The sequence below is a fragment of the Homo sapiens genome, chromosome 4 (assembly GCF_000001405.40).
Source record: "Homo sapiens chromosome 4, GRCh38.p14 Primary Assembly".
NCBI classification, from domain to species: Eukaryota; Metazoa; Chordata; class Mammalia; order Primates; family Hominidae; genus Homo; species Homo sapiens.
In genome coordinates this window covers 149,406,786-149,430,251 of record NC_000004.12, presented here as the reverse complement: position 1 = coordinate 149,430,251, position 23,466 = coordinate 149,406,786, and the positions used below count along the sequence as shown (strand labels likewise).

The window sequence follows — 23,466 nt, the reverse complement described above, 5'->3', positions numbered from 1 at the left end:
AACTTGCATTTTAAAACTTACTTAAAGAGAGTCACAAATTCAGTGTAATATCACTGGGCTGGTGCATACAAAGGCATATTTAAGTGCTCAGTTCTATAATAGCCTAGAGGAAGAAGAGAGAACAAAAAAGAAGGAAAATTATGAGAAAGAATAACTTAAGTTGAAAGTTTTGGGTTTAATAAGATGAATTAAGAACCTGACTGCTATTTATTTTCTCTGCAGTTTTCCACCTGAAATTATCAGAAGGTGACCTATATCTATTTGTGTTTGTTGTTTAGAGTCTATTTGCACTTTGTTAAAATAAACAAATTAAAAGGAAATATGCAAGTGGCATTACGTTGTTATTTTCAAACTCTGTCTTCCAAGCTTTTTGCTGATTTTTTTCTTTTTCTTTGGGTAAGTTACCAGAGCCTTGAATCTTTTTGAATTACATGGTTATTAAATTGACTGACAAGAGATTTGCAACATTTGTCTTGAAAAAGATTAGTCTATTACAGAGGTGCTTCCTAAAACTGAGTAACTCCTTAACTATAAACATTTTAGGGAAGATAGCTCTGGGAATTTATTATGTGTTCCAACATTAATACTCTACAATGTAGGTACTCCTGTTTATTGATTTCACTCTGTAAATTCAGAGATCTATCAACAGCAAGAACCAAGGAGTAAATAGAGTTACGAATGCTCCATAAATGGCTTGGGTTGCTAACAAATTACCTAGTATTAGGACCATACATTCTCTAAAAATACCTGGTACATCCATATTTTTATATCCCATATTTCCTAGAGTAGTGGCTTGATTGTAACTGGAATGCTGCATAAGTCATAATTTCAACTTGCTAATAGGCACAAAGAATTTCTTCTAGATTATAATTTTATAATCTTAGACCAAGTAAAAAACAAGTCTTTAATTTTTTTCCAGGAATATATGGCTTGTCACACTTATTTTTGGAAAGGCTATTTTGGAAAGTTAGTCTTTTAACTTATCTTCCGTTGTCTTTCCTTATGCACTGTCTGTCCTCAAGCTCCCAACCCTCTGGACTGTCACAAATATGCTCAACTTGTTTCTCTCCTTCGTTAAGCTTTTGTGACTTTGGCAAATTTTTAACCTTGAAGCTGTAGATTATATTAAGGAGCATTTTAGGCCTATAATTCTTGGAATTCTAATGGAGATACCTTGAAGGGGTGGATTAGCTATTATCTTTCTAGAAAATCACTTAGGGAATACAAATGAATGATCAAATTACTTTCCCAAAGCAATGGTCCATTTTAACTGAAATGGTGTTATTATATTACTGTCAAGTTTCTCATTAGTTCAGATGCTGAGTAATATCAACGACCTCTAGTTCTACTACTTCTTTTTCATATCATTTCCAGCACTTCATATAATATATTTTACTTGCCCTTAGAATACATGGTTATTTAAATGATGTGATTAATACTAGAACCTGATTTCTTGGCCTAATTACTGTTTTTTTCCCATTAAAAAAGTACAAGGTATTTTTTACGCAATTCAGTTTGCTTCACTGTCTTTAGTCAAGACTTGATACACATTTGCTAAATTAGAATCTATCTTAGCTTTAAAGATTCCAGCAATTTAGATAATCATCCTTGACAGTCAAGGCTGATTTTTGGTGATATTCTTTAAGAATTTTCTACTTTGTAACATAAGACTTTCTTATATATCCTTTATTGCAGTTGAAACTTATTCACTAGCTACAAAATAAAGGCTATGCGTAGATTATTATGACTCTCTGTTTTCTAAAATGGGCTATTTAATGTATTCTTCAGAATCCCTCCTAATCCTTGATCCCTTTTGGCACTTCTCTCTGAACATTTTTCCAATTTTCTCATTTCTTTTAAGGGATGAAGCTCAGAATACAACATGATAATCCAATACATGTTTGATTTATTGTGAATATAATCTTAGCTACTACTAGTTCTGCTTATTTTTTTTAAAGGCTTTTAAAAATACGCATCCCAGAATTTACTTGGATTTCTACCCATATTTTTTAATCTAATTTTTTGTCATATTTTCTTGTAACTATATGATGTGTATGTAATTTATTTTGCCTTCTTAAATTTGCTATCCTGGTAAAAAACTAAGCTTAATTTTGAGCTATTCTTTGAAGTGTTCTGTAGGATTACTGTAAAAAACTTACATTATCATTTGAAAGGAGCTCTATATATTTTATATCATTTATATCTGCTCGAGTATACAAAATGGCCTATTCTAATTTGGATAAGTTTAAATGCACTATGTTTAGGTCAATGTCATGCTTTGCCTATAGAGTATCTGCTTGCTCGAGATGAATAATATAGTCACTGAAAAATATATTTTATGCCAAATAGGACTTGAAAAGTTGTTTGGGTATATCCTCATTCATCCCTTATTTTATCCACTATACACTGCCATCAGCCTCCAATGTCATGTTCTCTAAAGTCCTTTTGATTTTCTTTGGTAGTTGCAAATGGATGTGAATGTGTTTTCATGGTAATTGTAATTGTTGATGGGAGAAATGTTTTATGTTTACATGGCTGAGTTGGTTCAAACTTTCAACACTTGCTATACTTACATGAATCATCCAAGAGTAAGATAAAAACTATTGCAATATTGTACCTGGCTAAAGTTTTTGACTATGTTCAAGTTACAAAAAATGTATTAGGGTGATGAATTAGGTCTTTCTCATTTAGTGAAATGGTTGTGTTCTATGTGAATTCCATTTTTCCTTAAACTTCAATGATAAAATCAGAGCTGTGTCTCCTACCTCCCAAGCCCAACTTCACCAAGCATGTTGGAAACATTTGAGTAAGAAAATATTAAGATGGCACCAGGTCTATTAGATAAAGAAAATGTGAGTTGTACATTTACAACAATCCACCACTCAATACTGCTTAACTTTGTGAGGTGAAATTTGGAAGATTAATATTTCATTATGATTTCTGCATCTATTTATTTAACAAGTATTAACTGAGTGTCTACTATATACTTGGCAATAAAGATTGAGAAATAACTTAGGCTTAATACCTGCCATAGAAATGTTCACATTCTAGCAGATATAAAGCAACATCAGAGTTTTGGCTGCAGTAGGTGCAGTGAGCACTGTTGTTGGTTCCTGGGTCAAATAGAATGCTTTCAAATGAGGAACTTCAAAAAATCTAGGAAGAACATCTAGAAATTAAAAAAAAGGATGACACTAACTCTCAGTATCTGAAATAAAACCCACAAATCTGAATTTACTATCTATTTAAATAAGGGGGCATTATACTGGTTAAGCATGGTCTCTGAGCAAAGCAGGCTGTTGATCTTATATAGGGTTTTCAGGAAGAGTGGTAGCCAGTCTCCAAGATGGCTCCAAGGATGTGGTTCCTGGTTCATGCTTGTGTGTATTTTTCTTCATAGTGTATCAGGTGTTACCAATAGAATATAGCAGGTACTTCATTTTTGAGTCCAGATCATAAAAGAGAGTCTGGCTTCTTCCTTGCTCTCCCTTGGGTAAGCTGCTCTGAGGAAAGCTAGCTGCCATGTCATGAGGACACTCCAGCAGCTCTTAGAGAGGTGTATGCGGTGATGAACTGAGACCTTCTGCCTACACAAATGAGTCACTGAGTTCTATGTGAGTAATACAATGTGGAAATGGAGGCTCCAGTTCAATCCTTCAGATAACTGCAGCTCTAGTGAGAGCTTGAAGGCAGTCTCATGATAGCCCCTGAGCCTGAACCACCTAGTAAAGCTACCCAGATTCCTAACTCTCAGAAATGGTGTGAGATAAATTTTTGTTGTTTTATGCCTCTAGTTTGGGGGTAATTTGTTACACAGCAGTAGATAACTAGTATAGAAAGCATGTAGGTCAGTGATTAGTGACTTTTAGCAGTGAAAGTAAAATGACACTGGATGCTGAGTGTGGTTACACAGGAAAGACTGAGTTGCTGATTAGCTTTCAGAAATGTGTTACTAGAATAAGACTTTTGTTCAGTGGTCAACTTTGAAAACCAGGAACTCCCACTGACTGGTTGGCTTTCAGAAGTGTGTTTACTAAGTTTAGCTGTCACTGGTTGATATTTAAAACCGGTTCTGAGAGTTTCTTATCACCATGATTATAGAAATATAATGGACTAATTAAATAGGTTCAAAACAAGTTCTAGTTCTAACTTGTTACCATGGCTGTAGAACTCTTAGAATATTCTTAGGAGTGTGGGGAAATGTTACACTCAAGAAACAGGGCATAAAGAAAAACAATAGGGATTGCATGTTCGTTGATATAATAGAAGCAATTAAGTATAATGCCTAGGAAAAGAGAATGAGTACATCTGGCAGTATAAAATATACATGTAGATAGATCTTGAAGTAATATTTAATAGTTATAAAATAAATCTGTATAATAGTTTGAAACGGAAATCTATTATGACTGGAGTTTTTTGAGCAAGGGGTAAACAGGGTTGGACAGCTTCACAGTTCCTTGTATCTTAATATAATTGTTGTGAAGGTTAATTTTATTTGTCAGTTTGACTGGGCTTAGGGATGCCCAGATGGCTGGTAACATTATTTCTGGGTGACGGTGTTTCTGGACCAGTTTAGCATTTAAATCAGTAGGCTAGATAAAGAAGATTTCCCTCATTGAGGCAGGTGGTCATCATCTAATCTGTTGAGGATTTAAATAGAAAAAAAGGTGGAGGAAGGGCAAATTTCCTCTATTTACTTGAGCTAGGACATCCATCTTCTCCTGCCTTGGACATCAGTGCTCCTGGTTCTTGGACTTTTGGACTTGAACCAGGACTTACACCATCAACCCCCAAGATCCTAGTCCTTTGGACTCAGACTGGGACTTATACCATTGGCTCCCCTAGTTCTCAGACCTTTGGGTTTGGACCATTAGCTTCTCTGGGACACTAGGTTACAGACAGCAGACTGTGGGACTTCTTGGTCTTTGCAATGGCATGAGCTAGTCCTTCATAATCAATTTCTTTATGTATATCTCTATATAGCCTATTGGATCTGTTCCTCTGGAAATCCCTGATGGATAAAATTACTATGATGACAAAATTGTATAATTAATGTAAAGTTAATATTTATTCACTTTATACTCTTATAAGACTCAGAGCTATACATTTTATGTGCATTTTCTCATGTTATCTTCATAATCTATATGATAGCTATTATCAAGCTCATTTTACAGAGAGAGATATTATTTCCTAAAGAGGCTAAGTAACTTGCTTGAAGTCATGCAGCTACTGAATGGTACAATCAGGATTTCATTCTAACTCTAGAGCAAACATTTCCACATTAAACTGCAAGAAATATGCTTTGTTTTGATGGAGATGATATTGAATCATCAAGAAGCTATTAAATTATAATCAGTATATTCTTTTAGAATTTAGTGAGGTGTGTATAATAATCATAAGAAAATAATGCATATGGATTTATTTATAAGGATGATAATTACAGCATTGTAGTGAAAAGAAATGTTGAAACAATGCAAATGTCCAGCAATAGGGGAATAGTTAAATAAATTATGATTCATAAAGAAGATGGAATTCCATGTGACCATTACAGTTATGTCATTGAATATTTGTAGTAAAATATGAAAAATAAATTTTAATGAAAAAAGATCACAGAATAGTATATCATGTATAATATACTCATATAGTTACATAAAATGAGTTAAGAATATATAAACTTTAATATCTAGATTTTGTGAATCCAGTGGACTTTATGTACTGTTTTAATATAACAGAAGTTTCTAATTTTTCTGCATATTCCACACATTTTGATGCACATTTATTTTTTAATGTAATAAAAGTTTGAGACTTAAAAATATTATTCTGAAATTCCATATGTTATGCCATATTCCTCAATTTAAAACTAAGCTTTATTTATTTTTATATTGTTCTTTGTTGATAAATATACATTTATCTTATTTATTTTGATTTTGCTGTTAAACTATGACAAAAAGAATATGTTTACATCAAAGTAAAATATAGCCTTTCAATGAAAAGGAGAAATGAGGCCATTTTATTATGTCATATTTCAAAACTATTTAAAAATAGTTTTACATTTTAAAATACATGTGAAATATATAATATTTATTTGAGAAATCTCTGATAGTTCTGTAAGCTTTTGAGAAACATTCCACTTATTTATCCTTATTCCCCACTGTAATTCTCAGCCCATAGTAGGTATTTGTGCATAAACTATTTAATGTGTACATGAAGGATTACTATAGCAGCTAAGCTATGTTTTCAAACTAAGGATAAATACATTTTTATTATTTATATATTGAAATTATTTGCTGTCTCTGGGTTCATTCAAAGATTGCCATAACATATGGCTGTAATGTAGTATGGCAGTTCTTTAACATTTAAATTTTTTATTTAATAAATAAAATATAAATTTACCATTGGGAGGCAAAAATCCAAGGTGAGATAAGGGCATTATTCAGTCACTCCACAAATATTTATTAAGTGTCTGTATTCAATACCCTATGATAGACATGAGGAGGATTCAAAGGTAAATAAAACATCTTCCCTCTCATGTATTGGTTTAGACTGGGTAAAAGATATATATAAATAATTAACCACAATAAAAGATAGACAGTGATGAGTGATGTAAAACAACCACACAGTGAGTGCTCCGTTGTTCTGCTAAGCAATGTTGAGAGGAAAGCTAAAGAAAACACTTTGCAAGGGAGAGGAGCATGGAGGCTGTCAACATCTTTGGAGAACAGTAAGGGCTTCTTTAACATTATTCAAAGCTCACAGAAAGAGTCCACTCAACTGAGACTGATACAGTTTTGCTCTATGTCCCCACCCAAATATTCTCTCGAATTGTAACCCCCAAGTGTCGTGGGAGGAACCTGTAATCCCTACTTGTCCAGGGAGGGAGGCGATTGGATCATCACGGAGGTTTCCCCCATGCAGTTCTCATGATGGTGTGTGAGTTCTCACGAGATCTGATGGCTTTGTAAGTGGCTGTTTCCCCTGCTCTTTACTCTCCTGCTGCCTTGTGAAGAAGGTGCCTGCTTCCCCTTCCACCAGTTGTAAGTTTCCTGAGGCCTCCCCAGCCATGTGGAACTGTGAGTCAATTAAACCTCTTTCCTTTATAAATTACCCAGCCTCAAGGAAGTTCTTTATACAAGTGTAAAAATTGACTTATACAGAGACATTCCAAGTTGGCATAACCAGCCCTTCTAAAATAATGATAATTAAAAATAATGCATTTGTTTACTAGGATTAACACTATTTCATCATACAGTGATCAACTATAATGTCCTATGCATCAATATTTTATGCATAAATTTAAAGTGGATTGCAAAAAATTTGTAAAATTGCAAACCAAGCACTTACTCTCTAATATAACCACTTTTTATTATTTTGTCATAGTTTCTTCCACGATTTTATAAAACTATTTATAACTATAGAATATTTAAACCTTGAGTGGGATATTATGCCAACTTCCTTTTGATGTTTACAGAGAGCCAGTTAGGAGGTATTAGAAGAATATTTGAATTGAGGAGCTGAGGGCACAGAGGCTAAGTGGCTTGTTCATGATCATGTCCTTAATTTTAACTGCTTTGAGGATTCAAATTCAGGGTCACATTAGGTCCATACTCCACCCCCTTCATGCACACATGCGTGCGCACACACACACGCACATGCACAATCTCCCAAACTTCCTGGCTTTTTATGAAAAGTAATTTCTCTGGGCAAAGTAAACATAACATTTGTCTATTTATTAGTCTTTATTTTTCTCTTTGTTTTCCTGAAGCTTAAAAATAGGTTGTTGGTTTTGCCCTTTGTATATTTTCTGAAGGAAAATCTGAAAGAAATACTGCCCGCTCCCCCTATTGCTTTCTTGGGAGTAGAGGTGAGTCAAAGGCCTTGGACTAAGGTACCCTAGCCTTGTAAACTTGTTGCCTGTGGACATGTTGAGTACCAACCTTTTTTGAAAGCTCTGATCATGCATTTTTGGCCCCTCAAATCTTGCTTTGTATGCCTATTTTAAGCTCAATTCCTTTACTTTTCCAACTACACATATTAAGTAGTAGGAAATAGCACTTCATTCTGAAATCTTTCATAAAACAAAACTGATACTTATTAGATGTAAATGTTGCTGAAGCTGAAAATTATTATCCCTAGGGGAGAATGATGACTTTTCCCCCACCAAGACTGCAGCATAGTGAAGTGAAGATGTTTTCACAATACTTTGGAATTTTTATAGTTGTCCTCTGTATTGTTTGACTGTCAGTTAAATTAGAACATTTGATAATTGTAGGGAGCTGATAAGACTTTCTATTAAAGGTATGTCATTATGTAAATCTCAGTTCAAATATAGTTTGCCAGAATCCTGTTTTGATTATATAATATTATAATAAATTAGCCTGTTAAATAAGCATACCTGCAGGGCATAGAACATTTTAAATGTCTTTAAAGTTAACATTAGATTAAACAGGCATGTAAATCTTATACTAAAACCATACTTGTCTTTTTTCCTTAAAGCGTTTAAAATTTGAAGCATAGATTTTTATATAAATATAGATACTTTAGACTTAAAATCAACCTATGCATATAGTTTATTTAGCTGTAGCATTTGCATACTGTGGGAAAATAGTGAATGATGAATACAAAAAAAAATGTAGAGGCTCCCAGGTTTCATTTGATATGCAAACACCTGGATACTAGAGTTATTTAATAAACATATTGACAGCTGTGTGTATAAAACACTTAAAATTTTATAAAAAATAATTTATCTTTGTGGCATGTTGCAAATAATAGATGTTCTCTAACAATTTTGACCATATTTATTTTATTTATGGATGGGAAGATCTCAGTAATCAGATCATGATTATCACATATCTGTTTTTATACATTCACATCACCGTTGTGTTCTCTTCATATTTTTGGTGGTGTGGCCCACTTTTTTTTCAGTGTAAGTTCGACACATATCTGTGCAAAAAATAATTGATTCTATCTCAGCTTATTGGAAGGAAAGGTTCAAATCTTCATTCATGTATATATTCATTTATTTAACGAATACTCTAAAGTGTATACTGTGTTATTATGTACCCAGGAATCTGTAGCAATGTAGAGACAAAAAGAATCATGGAGCAACTGGACATTGAATAGATTTCTATCTATGCAGTACACAGATGGCCTCCCAGAGTGCCTGAATTTAAAAATATGCAGAGAATAAAATGTTTTGGCACTACTGAACATTTGTGCTGGTCATAATTATTGGCACTACTGAACATTTGTGCTGGTCATAATTATGCATAATAACCTCCATCTGACAGTCTGTCTAATGGGCACCTACTATAGACTTTAATAGTAAGACTTAGAGGCAGAAGAGAAAAGTGGAAGAGATGGATGGGAGAAGAATTTTATAGCAGATGCTGGTGCCTCACTACACCTTGCCATAGGTATAGGCAAAAGTCAAGAGGATGATTTTTATCATTGGAAGTCAAAATTTCCATTAAATTCAAAACATAATTACTATATAATATACAACCTATATATGTTACCAGTACTCACTCTATAATAATAACCTGGTGTCTGTGGTTTCAGTTTCTTGTTTTAAGTTTGAGGTAATTGTAGTTCTTTTTATAATTAATTTTAATTTTTGTTTTAAGTTCTGGGGTCCATGTGCAGGATGTGCAGGTTTGTTACACAGGAAAATGTGTGCCATGGTGGTTTGCTGCACCTATCAACCCATCACCTAGGTATTAAGCCCAGCATACATTATCTATTTTTCCCAATGGTCTTCCTGTCCCCACCCCACCTCCCAGCAGGCCTCAGTGTTGTTATTTCGCTCCCTGTGTCCATGTGTTCTCATTTTTCAGCTCCTACTTATAAGGGAGAACATGTAATACTTGGTTTTCTGTTCCTGCATTAGTTTGCTGAGGATAATCCGTGTTCTTGCAAAGGACATGATCTTGTTTCTTTTTGTGGCTGCATAGTATTCTATCGTGTATATGTACCACATTTTCTTTATCTAGTCTATCATTGATGGGCATTTGGTTTGATTCCATGTCTTTGCTATTGTGAATAGTGCTGCAATGAACATACATGTGCATGTGTCTTTATAATAGAATGATTTATATTCCTTTGGGTATATACTCAGTAATGGGATTGCAGAGTCAAATGGTATTTCTGGTTCTAGATCTTTGAAGAATTGTCACACCATCTTTCACAATGGTTGAACTAATTTACATTCCCACCAACAGTGTAAAAAGATTCCTATTTCTCTACAACCTCACCAGCATCTGTTGATTCTTGACTTTTTAATAATCACCATTCTTACTGGTGTGAGATACTATCTCATTGTGGTTTCGATTTGCATTTCTCTAAAGATCAGTGATGTTGATTTTCTTTTCATATGTTTGTTGGCCATGTCAATGTCTTCTTTTGAGGAGTGTCTGTTCACATCCTTTGCCCACTTTTTAATAGGGTTTTTTGTTTTTTCCTTGTAAATTTGTTTAAGTTTCTTGTAGATTCTGGATATTAGACCTTTGTCAGATGGGTAGATTGCAAGATTTTTCACCCACTTTGTAGGTTGCCTGTTCACCCTGATGATAGTTTCTTTTGCTGTGCAGAAACTCTTTAGTTTAATCAGATCCCATTTGTCAATTTTGGCTTCGTTGCAATTGCTTTTGGTGATTTCATCATGAAATCTTTGCCCATGCCTATGTCCTGAATGGTATTGCCTAGATTTTCTTCCAGGGTTTTTATAGTTTGGGGTCTTACATTTAAGTCTTAAATCAATCTTGAGTTAATTTTTGTATAAGGTGTAAGGAAGGCATCCAGTTTCAATTTTCTGCATATGGCTAGCCAGATCTCCCAGAACTACTTAGTAATTAGGGAATCCTTTCCCCATTGCTTGTTTTTGTGAAGTTTGTCAAGGACCAGATGGTTGTAGATATTTGGTCTTATTTCTGAGTTCTCTATTATGTTCCATTGGTCTATGTGTCTGTTTTTATACAAGTACCATGCTGTTTTGGTTATTGTGGTTTTGTGGTATAGTTTCAAGTCTGGTAGCATGATGCCTCCAGCTTTGTTCTTTTTGCTTAGGATTGTCTTGGCTATAGGAGCTCTTTTTTTGGTTCCATATGAATTTTAAAATAGTTTCTTCTATAGCTGTGAAGAATCTCAATGGTAGTTTAATGGGTGTAGCATTGAACCTCTAAATTACTTTGGGCAGTATGGCCACTTTCATGATATTGACTCTTCCTTTCCATGAGCATGGAATGTTTCTCCATTTGTTTGTGTTCTCTCTGATTTCTTTGAGCAGGTTTGTAGTTCTCCTTGAAGAGGTCCTTCACTTCCCTTGTTTGCTGTATTCCTAGGTATTTTATTCTCTTTGTAGCAATTTGAATGGGAGTTCCTCCATGGTTGGTTTCTCTGCTTGCCTGTTGTTGGTGTACAAGAATGCTTGTGACTTTTGCACATTCATCTTGTATCCTGAGACCTTGCTGAAGTTCCTTGTCTGCTTAAGAAGCTTTTGGGCTGAGATGATGGGGTTTTCTAGATACAGGATCACGGCATCTGCAAACAAAGACAATTTGATGTCTTTTCTTCCTATTTGAATATCCTTCATCAGAGATATTGGCCTGAAGTTTAATTTTTTATTGAATCTCTGTCAGGTTTTGGTATCAGGATGATGCTGGCCTCATAGAATGAGTTATGGAGGAGTTCCTTCTTTTCAATTCTTTGGAGTAGTTTCAGAAGAAAGGGTATCAGCTCCTCTTGGTATTTCTGGTAGAATTTAGCTGTAAATCCATCTGGTCCTGCGTGTTTTTTCCTTGGTAGGCTATTTATTACTGCCTTAATTTCAGAACTCATTGTTGGTCTATTCAGGGATTCAACTTCTTCCTGGTTCAGTCCTGGGAGGGTGTATGTGTCCAGGAACTTATCCATTTCTTCTAGATTTTCTAGCTTATTTGTATAGAGGTGTTAATAGTATTCTCTGATGGCTGTATTTCTGTGGGGTCAGTGGTAATATCCCCTTTATCTTTTTTTATTGTGTCTATTTGATTCTTCTCTCTTCTTTACTAGTCTAGCTAGTGGTCTGTTTTATTAATTAAAAAAAAAACCATAACCTGGATTCATTGATTTTTTAAAGGGTCTTTTGGTCTCTCTCTCCTTCAGTTCCTCTATGATCTTGCTTATTTCTTATCTTCTGCTAGCTTTGGGGTTTGTTTGCTCTTGGTGGTCAGTTGTGATGTTAGGGTGTCAATTTGAGATCTTCCTAGCTTTTTGATGTGGGCATTTAGTGCTATAAATTTCCCCCTTAACACTGTTTTAGCATTTGCTAGGCTCAAGACTATATAGGTGATAATTATCATTCATCCCATAAACCACAATTGCTGTGGATAAATTCCTACAATCTTCAAGTGGCTATTTTTACAAACTTCAAAGTGCCTTCCAAAAAAAAAAAAAAAGGAAAAAGGGAAATAGAGAATGCTTTTGTTGCATTTGGCATCTGAACATATCCCCACTAGCTTGGAACCTAAATGGCAAATCATTACAGAGGAGACAGTAAAGTGTGTCTTTCTCCTGCATAACAGAGAGGGATGACTCAATTGTACAACTTTGAATGTTAAATTGTGGACCTTGAATCTAGCTGGTTTTATATACCAATCTGTGATGCACCTGTTAAAAATGTCCACTGTGATGTATAATGAATTATGTTTCTAATTTAGTCACATTAGAAGATTATTAAATTAAACTTCACTGGACTTAAGCTAACAGAATAAGGTGACACCCAGAAATATGTTCAGGTAGGATTAGTTCCAGTGGAACCAAAGTATGCCAGAACAACCAAGCTTCACAGCACCATGTCCTCCTGGCACGTAAACTGTACTTCACTTCCGATCTGACATGAGGGGATCAAAATCCATGTGCAAGAGATGAACATGCAGATAGATCTCCAGGGAATCTCTCCTCCAAGCTTTAGGGAGAATTCTAAAGGATTCTTAAGGACAAGGCCAGATCAGCCTGTGGCAAATGTTCCGACAACATGTGATCTACTGGGGTCCTTGAATTTGCAAACTGAGTAAGAAAAAAACTATTTTATGCAACTTTGCAATCTTGAATTGAGTTTTGATTAATCTCTTCATCTGCTAAAGTATGTCTAAAATAATTTGAAAATTATGTAAGTCTTCACTTCCCTGTGAAAGTCTTTCTGTTGCCTTTGTAAAACTGGAAACCATATGAGAGTCTTAGGTCTAAATCTTTTCCCTCAAAAGCCTAAAAGCAATTCCTCAGTTATTTTATATATTTAGACAGTTTTTTGTTACAGAAATTTTCAACAGACAGAATAGCAGTGAACCTCATTATCCAGCTTCGTCAGCTCTCAGCATTTTCCAGTGCTGAAAACATACCTTGCTTTCTACTTCTTCCATTCTTGTTCAAGTCACATTATTTAACTCTAGTTTGGACTATTTAAAGTCTAATAATCTTCCTCTTGCCCACCTGGTCTGTATTCCACACAAAGGCAGAAGGGTTTATAACTATGTGAATTGGATCATGCCATTTCCCTGCCTGAAATCTCCTCTAATCAATACCTAAAATTATATCATTTCTCTGTTCATGAAGTAACTCTTACCTCAAGAACTATGGCCACCTATGTTTACAGGTGTGTCCTCCACTGCTAGCCATATGGTTTCTCAGCCCTCGCCGCACACTAGAATCACCGACCTAGACAGCATTGACTAATAAGGTCTGGGGTGGGGCCCAGGCATCACTTACTGTTTTTCAGGCTACTCAGGAGATTCTAATGTATACCAAAAATTGAGAAACACTGCCTTATGAAAGAGATGAAAATGCCTGGAGCATAGAAAATACTCACCTAATAACCTTTTATTTAAACAAATGAATGCGGACTTCTAATTTATAGAGACCATGTACCAGTTTCTAAAAAAAATTATATTGAATACAAAAATAGATATTTTCTCAGGAATATATTATTTATTTAAATCTTCAGGATCACTATGTTCTGCAGTATTATTTTTAAGGCTCCATGGGGGAGGGAGGGAGACAGACAGAGAGAGAAAGAGAGAGATTGATCCCAAGATTCCTGTATCTTCATCCCTAAATGAAGAAAAATCTGTCTGGGTTGGTTAGTGCTAACCAGGTTTTTTTATGGGTCATAAGCACTCAGTCATCTGATTAGGATTCTAAATTAACTCTACTAACAGGCTTTTTTAAAATTATACTTTAAGTTCTAGGGTACATGCGCACAATGTGCAGGTTTGTTACATATATGCACATGTGCCATGTTGGTGTGCTGCACCCATTAACTCATCATTTACATTAGGTATCTCTCCTAATGCTATCCCTCCCACCTCCCTCCACCCCACGACAGGCCCCAGTGTGTGATGTTCCCCTTCCTGTGTCCAAGTGTGTACTAGCAGGCTTTTTACCCAGTTCAGCTTTTCTAGACTGAGATGGGATTTTGTACCAACCTCACTACCCAGCTCTCTGACTCTGAATAGATGAGTTTATGAAAAGCTATCCTTGCAGAGCTTATTACTACTTTACCTATAATATTACATATTCCATTATGGAATATTCTATTATTAGTCTCATCCCTGACTCCTTTTTTCCAATTTTGGTTGCAATTTATGATTAGATGTAGGGTGAACATTGCTGTTAGGTGGAAAAATTTAGAAAAATACTCTGCCTATTCTAAAAAAAAGCAGGAGCCACAAAACAGAGTAACAATCATTTGGTGTTCTAGCAAGGATGTTCCTGCTGTCTTCCTTGTGAATATTTCCATTTATTATGTGATTTACAGAAAGAATTATAAAACACACTTACCACTGTGATCATTTCCATAATACCGAGGCAAGCAATACATAGATACTTTCTTTTTCATTTTGCATAGTAGAAAACTGAAGTTTAAAGAATGATGTCTTGCACAAGATTCCCCAGTCAGTGGATGGCAGGTTCTCTTTCATATAGTGGTATCATCAATTACAAAGAATGATGAGCAAGAAATGGTGATTGAGCTTTCTTCAGAAGCCAATGATTGCAATGTAATTTTTCTAGGTAACCTGAAAACTTCAAATGTTCAAGGCTATCCTTCTCTACATGCATTTTTAAATATGATGAAACTGTGACATGATGGCATTTTAATCAAAGTATCCATTTCTTTTTCCAGCATAATTGACATTTTTAGAAGTCATATAAAGTGAGTTTATTTTCAGCCAGATACAAATACTATGGAACATAAATGAAAAATAAGAATTATGAAAGAAAATATAGATAGCTGGATCTATGTTACAAAATATAGTTTTATTATATTTGATGCAAAGTATTTTTCTTCATGAATCTACAAGCCAGAGAGGGTTTTTTACCTTGCTTCAATATACCTGATATTTTTTCTCTGTGACTTATCGTCCTATAAAAATCAATTAAAACTTTTAATCTATTAAATTTTATATTTGAGACTTCCGATTATTCTATCAGTGTGAGAATAAAATTCTTAAATAGGTATATTGTTGCTAGAAGGAGAAATCTTATTTTTTAATTTTTAAAAAATTTTGAATTTTTTTACTTATAAAGATTAATGACATAAATCTTAGTTATATAATTGAAAAATATCTATAAAATACAGAAAATTATCATGGGGGCACTTAAAAAGGGAGAGGAAAAGATAAAATGAAAGTATTAAATTTTTATCGTAAGGACTATAATGGACAAACTCTGAGTGTATCGATGATTATTTATTTCACTAATATATGGCTCTGTGCACTCTCTCAGGTTCACATCTCTGCTTTCCAAAACTGCTTTTCTCTCATAGTGGGACTCAAATGAATGTACCATGAATCAGAGACTGAAATTCAGACCTTAGCATTCTTATATAATAGAAAAACTGTCATCGTGAAAGGAAATCTCTTACTCCTGAGGTAATTTGAGGCATCGGTTTTGGGCAAAATCATCTTTTATGAAGAAGATACAGTAGAATTGACCACATACTTTGGTGATATTCAGAATGTATTGGAGCTCTATGTCCTTAAGCAATTGGATGAAGAGAGGAGAATTCTCTGAATTTACTCATTAATTGTTCCTCAATCCTCTGTCAGGAAAACATTCATTATAAGAGAGGAGATGATAAATAAGACGGGTTTAAAATATAAGAGAAATCAAACCAATTCTTTTGTGTGGCATTTGTCATTTTCAAAAATGTGCATTTTAAAAAACCACTGGATCTCAAGCAAGACTTTGCATTAATACTAGAACTAGAAATGTTTTTATAACATGCCTAGAGGAAAATTCTTTGTTATGGCTTCACTGAATACTCATTAATTTTGTAACAGAAGAAGAGAGTTGATAGCAATTTTGCACCTATCTCCAGATGCATGAAATGTTTAGTTATTTTAAGGTAAGAAATTCTCACATGTCAACATTTCAGTGAATTTAACAAAAATGTTTAGTTTCTGTAAGGAGAATTTAATGTTTAATAGTCAGAGGTATCAAAATTCTCCACTAGTTAATGAAGTTTATTTAAAAAATATAAGCACGTGAATAAGCTATATTTTTATTTTTAAATATTTCAAAAACAGAGAAACATGGAGACATGTAATGAACACTCACCTATTCACAGCCCAAATCGAACTCTGTAAATTTTGTTTAGACACTGCTCTTTGTTTTACTTTTCTCTATTTCATTGATTTTTCCTTATTAAAGTCTTGATATAGAGCATGCAGAAGAAGAGTACTCCTAGGAACTGTGTCAGCCATTTTTATTATTCTTCCTAGTGTGTGTGTGGTTCTGAGCAGCCACGGCAGATGGCATCCTGGCATTTGCACTCCCCTGCCCACCCTATCTCAGCGTCAGCCTCTGCTCCCCGCTACAGGTTTAGCTGAGGTTCCCATTATCTCCTGGACAGTCGCTCTGGGCTCCACCCGATTTCTTTCCCACTAGATTCCTTTTTCAATCTATTCTCCTTACTTCTTCCTGAGTTAGTCTCTTTAACAGGCAAAGCTGATTTCAGCATTTGCTTGTTTTCACATCTTCTGTATTGTCATTGCCCAAATGAGTAGTTTCTAAAATAGGGTAAACAGACATAGAATGAACTATTAGGTAGGAAAAGGCAATCTTAGCATTTCTATTTGAAATTGTTATCTTGTATTTTTGAAATTTGTACTTTTAATGTGTGTTTTATAATGTGCATACATGTTCATCTATACACAGATAAATATGAGTATACTGGGGGATTCATGCTAATGGAGGTGAACAATAAAAGATTTTAGAGACCACTGGCTTTGAAAACAAAACTCAGACTCCTTCACAGTCTGATCCTGGCAGCTTTCTCTCCACTCCATCACCCACCACTCTCCTACCTCCTTGCCACTCTGAACTTTTTAACTTTCCCTGGGCATGCCTTAGCACATGTTCCCTCTTACAGAAAAGCCCTGCTCTCCTTCTGGACTGGAAACTCCTTCACATACATTAACTAAATCTAAAACATGACACCATGATATAAAACATTAAGATTTCTGTAGTTGCTGCCTCCTCTGAATTTGCATACTCCATTATTCAGACATTTTGAAAACACTTAGCACAGCACATTATGATTTAGATCTATACATATCTGTCTTTTGAGTCCTATACTGAACTATGGAAGGTGGGAGCCATATCTTATTAATCTTTCTATCTACAGCACCTCACATGTTACTGCTACATCACAAGTGCTCAGTAAATAGTTTTGAATGAGTGAGTAGAAGAAATGTGAGATTGTACTACAGAGGTACTACTACTGCTTATAACCAACAGTAAGGCAAACAAATATATGGTTTGAAATTTGGTCAGTGCACAATGACTCAAAGAAGATGTCAGAATACAAATATAAGAATTAGGACCCTTTGGGAGGGGTCTAGGTAATCTACAGTTGGTTTTTTAATGGTCAAAAAATAAAAAGATATTATAATTTAAGTACTGTAGGGAAGAAAACCTCACTAGCCTTATTTTCAAGTTTTGAGGAATTTCTTAGGCTCAGGGTGGCCTGGGCTTGTACTTTTTTCTCCATGGGACTCAAAGATATAACTATTAGACCAGCATATCTACTGTGGGGCCACCTCCCTTGTATTCCTTTATCTGTTCTCCAAGATTGATTGCAGAGTGGCAAGGTGAGCAAGTGTGGGAAGACTGAAGAATTTTACACACACACACACACACACACACACACAAACACACACACTAAATGTTACATGTTTTAAGAAATACGTGTAAAGATCTATGAAGACATTTAAAATATATGATGATATCCATCTAAAAAGACTATATAGCTTAATTATATGATACTTTTAAAAACCCACATATCTTAGCTGAGACCTTCAGTTCTGAAGTAGAAAAAAAGAACAATCTGGGCTCAATCTCAGCTCCATTGCTACAGTTGTGTGTCATAGGACATAGTATTTATTTTCCTTAGCACTAGTTTTTAAAAATTGATAAAACAGTATTGTGTTGATTGAATAATGTAAGATATTTAAGTAACATAGCATAGTACCCAATTAAAAATACCTAATAATTGTCAGTCATTTTTATTATTCTTCCTAGTAAATGTAAGTACTTTTCTTAATCTAATAAAATTAATTTTAAGGTGAACTAGAAATATTAACCTAGTGAAAAACATCTTGGAAATTCCTTTCCTTTGCTTTTTCTTCTCTTTGTCTGGGTGAAATATTTGATCAATAAATTTTATTTTTCTATATAGTTGAAAAGTGATTTATTTATTTCAGTCTCTGTTAATGTTGCCAAGTAAATTTTCATTCCCAAATACAAATTAGTTAATACATAATTTGTCACCCAAAAGAAGACTTGACACATAGTGAGCACTCAAAAAATGTTAGCTACAACTAGCTCTTTTACTGACAGATTTTTCACCTTCTTTCATAACCAAAATATGTGTAAAAATACAAACATATTTTGAACTGTTAAACAATTCTGTTTTCTGCAACAGAACTGTAATGAACAAAGTCTGTATTTTGCTTTAAAATACACTAAAATATTAGTCATGTAAAAATGATATTTGAAAAACATTGTAGAAAAAAATTGCTGCTAAATACTATTGAAAGTGAAGTATTGAGGATACCTGAGTTTTATAAATTTCAGGGATATTGCAATAGAAGTGCTATGATGTAATAGGTGATTTTGATGAACTTCAGTTTTTTTGAAAAGACCATTGTTAGAAACAGGATGCCCATATCAATGGCAACAAAGAAGACAACTCTTAGCTTTTAGAAACACAAGAAGATTATTAATTTTATTTCTTTTTCTTTTCTAGAATTTAAAACAGCAACAGAAAAGAGTTTTGCTCATTTGTTCACCACAATATTATACATATCCAATATAAAAATTAAAATCCAGTGAGGTGAAATCAATCAATAACATCTATCCTGTTGAAGGGTTAGGAATAGGTCCTTTGTCTATGTTAACTATTGGCCAGCACTAACATAGCTTTGTTAAGACAGTCACCTAAAGCCACAAAATTTCATCTTCATCAGATATCATTAGATAAAGATAGAAGTCTGACTTTTTACTAATTTTAGCCTAAATGTCATTGAAAATAGCTCTTCATAAGGCAAAGGTACAAGAGCAATTTGCCTGTTAAAAAAAAAAGTGTGACAATGTGAATGCTACTGTTAATATCCTTGATCTTGAATTCCAGTATATAGAAATACAAATTTTTCATGACAAGCCAGTGGTTTATAAATTACAAAATGAAAATATTACATAAATTTTAGTTATTTATATTAGAATATATATCATATATTGATATATAATATGAAAAAATATATAAAAATATTTAAATACACACACACACACACACACAGGTGTGTGTATATATATATTTGTGGAACAATCTCCGTCCAAGAGGGAAAGCTTATTTTGATAATTTAAGGCCACCTTGTTTGCTATATAAATATGGTCTATAAATATAGTACTATAAATAGTATTAGTTAAAATTGTGGTTTGAAGGAGTGCTAGGGTGCAAATGGGAGCAGTTTGGGACCTTTTGGCTGTGAGAACTGTGGGGTTTTTTGTTTGTTTGTTTGTTTGTTTGTTTGTTTTAAATGGAGCCTTGCTCTGTAGCCCAGGCTGGAGTGGAGTGGCGCAATCTCGGCTCACTGCAACCTCTGCCTCCCGGGTTCAAGCAGTTCTCTGCCTCAGCCCTCCAAATAGCTTGGATTACAGTTGCCCACCGCCATGCCTGGCTAATTTTTGTATTTTCAGTAGAGACGGGGTTTCACCATCCTGGCTAGACTGGTCTTGAACTCCTGATCTCGTGATCCACCTGCCTTGGCCTGCCAAAGTGCTGGGATTACAGGCATGAGCCACCGGGCCAGGCCAAGAACTGATTCTTTTACCAGGCTGTGCTACTGGATGCAGTGTGAATAAGGCCAGCTGGCAGGAGAGGTAGAGACCAATAACAGGCTATTGCTGCTGCCTGCTTATCCTCTCTGTGCTACTGCTTCACTACCGAGGCTTTTGCTGCTTTTAGAGAGGGAGTGTGGAGGGTCTTCATAAATGGTGGAGGAAACACCAGGGAGAACAGGAATATTTTCAGCATCCCAGCTCATTAGGCAGAATTCAGAGCTGTTCAGAAGCGTTTGCACACACTATTCTTTCTCTTTTATTTATAAAAACAGTTACACCCTATGTCACCACACAAATTTCCAACTGACTTCAAAAAGGGAGTTGGTGAAGAAACTTCAAAAAGTTTTCTGCTATCCTTTGTTTTGTTGTTTGCCAGTTGGGCGTTCACAAAATAGAACAAAAGCAGCCCCGTGATTTCTACTTAGTGAAATGCCAGATTGATAATTGCTGGACTATTTGCCACATCCTATGACTCAGCGTGCAGCCATCGGGAGTGCCAAAATATCTGAGTGGAGGCCATTCTGGTGTGGGCCATGAATTCCTGGGCTAGAGGATGACTGGCATGGGCCACAGTCCAACCCCTGCTAAGCCTTTCAGTCTGTCAATTCACACATGCTTCCTTGCACCCATCCTAGAGTCATTTGTAACATCTGAGGCCCCATCTTGACTGACCTTTTGTGCATCTTCAGTAAATATTTTCTGATCTGGCTTCTCACTCACTGGATCATTTCCAAAGGCCTTGGAAGTAGCCCAAGACCTCTGCTGGTAGGGAGCCCATCCTTATTTTCCAGAATGACATGGGGCAGTATTTCCACCATCTTCAAGAGTGTTATGGAGAGTTGTTGATCATTTTATGTAACTTTACCTGGTTTGGAAAATAGAAGTATTTGCAGAAAGTAATTTTGTTAAAGGTTGCGATGTGTACACAAAATGTTGAACAGCTAGGTTGAAGCAAGGTGGGGTTTTTCTTGAATGACATAAAAAAACACGTCTAGACCTCCCTGCCTTTTCTTTCATATTATGTACCAGCTGCTAGACTTCTGGTGAACCTGAGAGCATCAGCTGGGGAGATGTCTGCTCTTAAAGAACAGCAGTTGTGTTTCTCTGCTATGGTATTATCTAAAAAAAGAAAAAGAAAAGCCTCAAATGATAATTTTTTTTACCTTTTATAACCTAATATTCAATGATATGTGTACACATACATAAACACAAACATACTGAGGATAATAATCAAAAACATATTTGGAACTTATTAGAACCTTAAATTTAAACAAATTTCCAAGTTCTTTAAGACTCACCTCCTGTTGTTATAGTACCAGAGAATGGGGATTGAGTGACTGCTAAAGCTGTTTCTTAAAATTGCCTGATTTCTAATGGGTATTTCTTATGAGATAGGAACAAAAGGCATTCAGAGGTAAAAGAAACAACACCACAGTTTTGTTCATTTAAATTCAGATGGCGTAGTATATCAGTTTAGGAGAAGCTCTTGTAGCTTTCAGGATGACATATCTTATGCCTCTTATCAATATTTATGCTTCGTCAATTATTTTATAACCAGTTTACTTTTCACATTTTAGATATGATAATCACCTATTTCATACATTCATAGTTCATTTTCTTTATTACTCCATATGTCACAATAAGTTGGTTTAATTTTAAGTAGAAAAATACCTGGTTTTCCTGGCATTATTTTTTTGTAAATTGACAATTTGTAATTGTATAAATTTATGGGGTACAAAATGAAAGGAGAAATACAAATGACCAAGAAACATATAAAAAAGATAAACATCACTAATCATCAGAGAAATGCAAATAAGAACCACCATCTTCCACCAGTCAGAATGGCTGTTATTAAAAAGTCAAAAAACAGCAGATGTTGGTGAGGCTATAGAGAAAACGGAATGCTTATACACTGTAGGTGGGAATGTAAATTAGTACAACAAAACTGTATGGAGATATCTCAAAGAACTAAAAATAGAAATACCCTTTGATCCAGCAATCCCACTACTGGGGATCTACCCAAAGGAAAATAAATTATATAAAAAATCCTGTGTTTATATGTTTATTGTAGCACTAGTCACCATAGCAAAGCCATGAAATCAACCTAAGTGTCCATCAACTGTTCCAAACTGACTGTTCATCACTGTTCATCATCCAAAGATTATTGCATTAAAAATGTGGTACATATACACTATGTAATACAACTCAGGCATAACAAAGAATGAAATCATCATGTCTTTTGCAGCAGCATGGATGAAACTGGAGGCCACTGTCCTTAGTGAAATGACTCAATAACAGAAAATTAAAAAAAAATCCGTTTCCACTTTTAAGTGGGAGCTAATCAATGGGTACATGGACATTGAGTGGAATAATAGGCACTGGAGACTCCAAATGGTGGGGCACCAGGGGGAGGGATGAAATATCACCTGTTGAATACATTGTATACTACTTGGGTGGACAATGTACACTAAAAGCCCAGCTTTCACCACTACTCAATATAATCATGTAACACAACTGCACTTGTACCCTTAAATCCATAAAAATTTGTTTAAAAATTAATTTCAAAATGATGTTACAATTTATGAATGCAGTGTAGAATAATTAAATTGAAAATTAACTGTTAGACTGTGATATGGTTTAGCTGGACCCAAATCCCACCTTGAATTGTAGCCTCCATAATTCCCAAGAGCTGTGGGAGGGACCTGGGGGGGGATAATTGAATCATGGTGGTGGTTTCCCCCATACTGTTCTCATCGTAGTGAGTAAGTCTCACGAAGTCTGATGGCTTTAAAAGGGGAAACCTCTTTCACTTGGCTCTCATTCTATCTTGCCTGCCACCATGTAAAACGTGCCTTTCGCCTTCCACCATGATCATGAGGCCTCCCCAGCCTTCACTTGGCTCTCATTCTATCTTGCCTGCCACCATGTAAAACGTGCCTTTCGCCTTCCACCATGATCATGAGGCCTCCCCAGCCATGTGGGACTGTGAGTCCATTAAACCTGTTTTTCTTCATAAATTACCCAGTCTTGGGTATGTCTTTATCAGCAGCGTGAAAACAGACTAATACAGACTGTTAGAATTTAATTATC

At 35.0% G+C, this 23,466-nt stretch overlaps 1 protein-coding gene across 15 annotated transcripts in view, besides 1 other annotated feature; it reads left to right on the top strand.

Annotated features, from left to right (window-relative positions):
• Window positions 1-23,466, top strand: part of IQCM (IQ motif containing M) — a 464,135-nt gene that overhangs the window by 385,592 nt on the left and 55,077 nt on the right. For 7 of the 15 annotated variants that reach the window (NM_001378184.1, NM_001378181.1, NM_001363509.2 and 4 more), the window contains one exon: window positions 223-320. The exons of the other annotated variants lie outside the window; for them this stretch is intronic. In NM_001378184.1, the coding sequence (NP_001365113.1) occupies window positions 223-278 (56 nt within the window). In that variant the 3' untranslated portion in view covers window positions 279-320. Of the gene's footprint in view, window positions 1-222; window positions 321-23,466 lie in introns of those variants that run through there. 15 annotated transcript variants of the gene reach the window in all.
• Window positions 20,441-21,640: an enhancer, noted in NCBI's record as "CDK7 strongly-dependent group 2 enhancer chr4:150329764-150330963 (GRCh37/hg19 assembly coordinates)". NCBI's record gives its function as "activates an origin of replication core promoter dependent on BRD2, BRD4, P300/CBP, MED14 and CDK7 cofactors, with strong dependence on CDK7, by STARR-seq in HCT116 cells {active_cell/tissue: HCT116}" and the evidence as "EXISTENCE:reporter gene assay evidence [ECO:0000049][PMID:35650434]".